The sequence below is a fragment of the Homo sapiens genome, chromosome 6, assembly GCF_000001405.40.
Source record: "Homo sapiens chromosome 6, GRCh38.p14 Primary Assembly".
Lineage (NCBI taxonomy): Eukaryota > Metazoa > Chordata > Mammalia > Primates > Hominidae > Homo > Homo sapiens.
The window spans coordinates 63,103,299-63,109,298 of NC_000006.12; positions in this window are offsets into that span (position 1 = coordinate 63,103,299).

Genomic DNA, 6,000 nt, shown 5'->3' on the forward strand with positions numbered 1-6,000 from the left:
TTGATAGGAGACTTTTTATTATTGCTTCTATCTTCTACTTGTTATTGGTCGGTTTATGTTTCAGATTTTTTCATGGCTCAGTCTTCATAAGTTGTGTGCATCTAGGAATTTATCCATCTCTTCTAGGTTTTCCAATTTATTAACATACACTTGCTAATAATAGTTTCCAATGATCCTTTGAATTTCTTCTATCAGTGGTAATGTCTCCTTTTTCGTGTTTTTTTAAGCTAGTCTGGCTAAAGGTTTGGCTATAATATCATTTCAAAAAAACAACCTTTTATTTTATAGATATTTTGTATTTCTTTTCAGGCTCAGTTTTATTTCTTCTCTGATCTTTTATTTCTTTTCTTCTACTGATTTTGTAATTGCTTTGCTCTTGCTTTTCTGTTCATTAAGATGCATCATTAGGTTGTTTATTTACAGCTTTTTAATATGTTTCCATTTTTATGGGTACATAGTAGGTGTATATATTTATGGGGTATATGAGATATTTTGATACAGGTATACTACATGAAATAATCACATCAGGGTAAATGGGGTATCCATCACCTCAAGCATTTGTCACTTTGCTGTGTTACAAACATCCCGATTATATTATATTGGTTATTTTAAAGTATACAATAAATTATTGTTTATTTCAATTACCCTGTTGATATCAAATAATAGATCTCATTCATCTTATTTTTGTACCTATTAACTATCCGCACTCCCCTGCTACCGTTCCCAGCCTCTGCTAACCATCATTTGACTCTCTATCTCCATGAGTTTAATTGTTTTAATTTTTAGTTCCCACAAATGAATGAGAACATGTGAAGTTTGTTTTTCTGTGCCTGGCTTATTTCACTTAACAGAATGACCTCCAGTTCCATCCATGTTGTTGCAAATGAGAGGATTTCATTCTTTTTATGGCTAAATAGTATTCCATTGTGTATATGTACCATATTTTTCTTCTTTTTTTTTCTTTTTTTTTTTTGAAACAGGGTTTCTTTTTGTCACCCAGGCTGGAGTGCAGTGGTGAGATCACTGCTCGCTGTAGCCTCGACCTCTTAGACTCAATTGATCCACTTGCCTCAGCTTCCTGAGTAGCTGGGACAAGAGGCATGTGCCACTAACCTGGCTACTTTTTTTTAGAGGTGGGGTTTTTCTATGCTGCCCAGGGTGGTTTTGAACTCCTGGACTCAAGAAATCCACCTGCCTTGGCCTCCCAAAGTGTTGGGATTACAGGTATAAGCCTCTGTCCCTGGCCACCATGTTTCCTTTATCCTTTCATCTATTGATGAACATTTAGGTGGCTTCCACATCTTGCCTATTGTGAACAGTGCTATATTAAACATGGAAATGCAGATATCTCTTCAATACACTGACTTTCTTTCTTTTGGGTATATGCCCAGGAATGGGATTGCTGGATCATGTTATAGCTCTTTTTTAGTTTTTTGAGGAACTTCCATAGTGTTCTCCATAGTGGATGTACTAATTTACATTCCCACCAACAGTGTACAAGGGTTCCTTTTCTCCACACCCTCGCCAGCATTCATTATTGCCTACCTTTTAGATAAAAGCCATTTTAACTGGGGTGAGATGATATTTCATTGCAGTTTTGATTTGCATTTCTCTGATGGTCAGTGATGTTGGTCACCTTTACATACACCTTTTTGACATTTGTATGTCTTCTTTTGAGAAATATCTATTCCAATCTTTTGCCCATTTTTTAATCAGATTATTAGATTTTTTTTTCTATTGAGCTGTTTAAGCTTTTTACATATTCTGGTATATGTTAATTCCTTGTAAGACAGATAATGTGCAAATATTTTCACCCATTCTGTGGGTTGTATCTTCACTTTGTTGATTGTTTCCTTTGCTGTGCAGAAGCTTTTTAACTTGTGATACCATTTGTCCATTTTTGCTTTGGTTGCCTTTGCTTTTGTGGTATTACTCAAGAAATCTTTGCCCAGACCAATTTCCTGGAGAATTTTTCAAAGGTTTTCCTTTAATGGTTTCATAGCTTCAAGTCTTATATTTCAGATTTTGGTCCATTTTGATTTAATTATTGTATATGGTGAGAGATAGGGGTCTACTTTCATTCTCCTGCATATGGATAGCCAGTTTTCCCAGGGTCATTTATTGATGAGACTGTCCTTTAACCAATATATTTTCTTGGGTTATTTATTGAAAATGACCTTGCTGTAGATGTATGGATTTATTTCTGAGTTCTGTATGCTGTTCCACTGGTCTATGCGTCTGTTTTTATTCCAATACAATGCCATTTTTGTTACTATAGCCATTTTTGTTACAATGCCATTTTTGTTACTATAGCTCTGTAGTATAATTTTAAGTAAGGTAATGTGATTCCTTCAGTTTTGTTCCTTTTGCTCAGGATGACTTTCATTATTCTGTATCTTTTGTGGTTCCATATAAATTTAAGACAATTTCTTTCCATTTTTTTGAAGAATGTTATTGGTAACTTACTAGAAATTGCATTGAATCTGCACCTTGCTTTATGTAGTACTTTAACAATTTTGATTCTTCCAATCCATGAACATAAAATATTTTTCCATTTTCTTATGTCTTCTTCAATTTCTTGCATCAGTGTTTTATAGTTTTCATTGTAGAGATCTTTCACTTCTTTTGTTAAGTTTAGTCCTATGTATTTTATTTTATTTGTAGCTATTATAAATAGGATTGTTTTCTTAATTTTTTAAACAGATTGTTCACTGTTGCATATAGAAATGCTATTGATTTTTGTATATTGATTTTGCATCCTGCAACTTTACTGAATTTATCAGTTCCAATAGATTTTGGTGGAGTCTTCAATTATTTCCAAATATAAGATACTATCATCTGCAAACTAAGATAATTTGACTTCTTTCTTTCCAATTTGGATGCCTTTTATTTCTTTCTCTTGTCTGATTGGTCTAGCTAAGACTTCCAATACTATATTGAATAAAAGTAGTGAAAGTGGGCGTCCTTGTGTTCCATATCTTACAGGAAATGCTCTCAGTTTTTACCCATTCAGTGTGATACTAGCTGTGAATCTGTTATATATTGCTTTTATTGTGTTGAGGTATGTTCCTTCTACATCAGTTTTTTTTTTTTTTGAGGGTTTTATCATGAAGGGATGTTAAATTTTATCAAATGCTTTTTCAACATCAATTAAAATGATCGTATAATTTTCCTCCTTCATGCTGATGATATGATGTATTATGTTGATTGAATTGCATATGTTGAGCCATCCTTGCATCCCTGAGATAAATCCCACTTGGTCATCATGAATGATCTTTTTTTAAAAAAATTTTACTTGAAGTTCGGGGATACATGTGCAGAACGTGCAGGTTTGTTACATAGGTATACATGTGCCATGGTGCTTTGCTGCTCCCATCAACCCGTTATCTAGGTTTTAAGCCTCTCATGCATTAGGTATTTGTCCTAATGCTCTCCCTCCCCTTCCCTCACCGGCCAACTGGCCCGAGTGTGTGATGTTCCCCTCCCAGTGTCGATGTGTTCTCATTGTTCAACTCCTACTTATGAGTGAGAACATGCAGTGTTTGGTTTCCTGTTGCTGTGTTAGTTTGCTGAGAATGATGGCTTCCACCTTCATCCATGTCCCTGCAAAGAACGTGAACTCATTCTTTTTTATGGCTGCATAATATTCCATGGTGTATATGTGCCACATTTTCTTTATCCAGCCTATCATTGATGGACTTTTCGATTGGTTCCAAGTCTTTGCTATTGTGAATAGTGCTGCAGTAAACATACGTTTGCATGTGTCTTTATAGTAGAATGATTTATAATCCTTTGGTTATATACCCAGTAATGGGATTGCTGGGTCAAATGGTATTTCTGGTTCTAGATCCTTGAGTAATCACCACACTGTCTTACACAATGTTTGAACTAATTTACACTCCCACCAACAGTGTAAAAGCATTCCTATTTCTGCACAGTCTCACCAGCATCTGTTGTTTCCTGTCTTTTTAATAATCTCCATGATAAATGATCTTTTTAATGTACTGTTGAATTTGATTTGCTAGTACTTTGTTGCAGATTTTTTATTCGATGTTCATTAAATATATTGGCCTGTAGTTTTCTTTTTTTTCATGTGTCTTTGTCTGGTTTTGCTATCAAAATATACTCATAGCATGAGTTTGGAAGTGTTTCCTCCTTCTCTATATTTTTGAATAATTTGAGTACAATTTCCTATTAGTTCTTCTTTAAATGTTTAGTAGAATTCAGCAGTGAAGCCATTGGGTCCGAGACTTTTCCTTGCTGGGAAACTTTTTATTACAGCTTCCTTCTGGTTATTAGTGTAGTCACGTTATGGATTTCTTCATTTTCAATGTCATAAGTTGTATAAGAATTTATCCATTTTTTTCTAAATTTTTTATTTATTGGCATATAGTTGCTCATAGTAGTCTCTAATGATCTTTTGGATTTCTTTGGTATCAGTTGTAATGTCTCCTTTTTCATCACTGATTTTATTTACTTGAGTCTTCTCTCTCTTTTCTTAGTCTAGCGAAATTATTGTTTATTCTGCTTATCTTTTCAAAAAACCAACTATTCATTTTATTGACTTTTTAGTTGTTTTTTATTGTTTCATTTTTAAAATTTTTATTCTAATATTTATTATAACTTTTCCTCTACCACTTTTGCTTCATTTGCTCTTGCTTTTCTAATTCTTTAAGATGCATCAATAGGTTATTTATTGGAGAATTTCCTACTTTTTAAATGGAGGTACTTATTGCTATTAACTTTTCTGTTAATACTGCTTTCTCCATGACCTATACATTTTGATATGTGTGTTACCATTAACATTTATTTCAAAAAATTGTTTAGATTTCTTCTTAATTTCTTCACTGGTCATTCAGGAGCAAATTGTTTAATTTCCATGTGTCTGTATAGTTTCCAAAGTTTTTTCTGTTACTGATATCTAGTTTTATTCCACTGTGGTCAGAAAAGATATGTGATATTATTTTAATTTTTATAATTTTTAGAACTTGTTTTTGGCCTAACATATGGTCTGTCTTTGAAAATGATCCATATGCTGACAAAAAGAATATGGATTCTTCAGCCATTGAATGAAATGTTCTTAGATGAGATGAGATAGTTTGATGAAATATCTATTAGGTTCATTAGGACTAGAGTGCCAATTACATTTTATGTTTCTTTGTTGATTTTCTCTCTAAATGATCTTTCCAATGCTGAAAATGGGGTTTTGAAGTCTCCAGTTATTATTGTATTGGGGTATATCTCTCTCTTTAGCTCTAATAATTTTTGCTTTATATATCTGGGTCCTCTAGTGCTGGGTGCATATATATTTACAAATGTTATATCCTCTTGCTGAATTGACTCCTTTTATCATTATATAACGACCTTTTTGTCTCTTTTTATACTTTTTCTCTTAAAATCTATTTTGTCTAATAAGTATAATTACTCCTGTTCTTTTTTGGTTTCCATTTGTGTGGAATATCTTTCTCCATCCCTTTGTTTTTAGCTTATGTGTGTCTTTATAGGTGAAGTGTGTTTCTTATAGCAATAGATTGCTGGGTCCTCTTTTTATACCCATTTGGTCCCTCTATGTCTTTTGATTGGAATGTTCAGTTCATTCACATTCAATGTTTTGTTTTTTGTTTTGTTTTGTTTTGTTTTGTTTTGTTTTAGTAGAAACAGGGTTTCACCGTGTTAGCCAAGATGGTCTCAATCTCCTGAACTCGTGATCCACCCCCCTTGGCCTCCCAAAGTGCTGGGATTACAGGCTTAAGCCCTGCCCAATGTTATTAGTAAGGACTTACTCCTGCCATTTTGTTGTTTTCTGGGTTGTTTTGTGGTCTTTTTTTTCCTTCCTTCTTTCCTTCCTTCCTTCCTTCCTTCCTTTTTCCTTCCTTCCTTTCTGTCTTCCTTTTTATAAAAGTGATTTTTTCTAGTGGTATGTTTTAATTTCTTTCTTTTTTTTGTATCTGTTGTAGGTTTTTTGTTTTGAGGTTATCATGAGACTTGCAAATAACATCT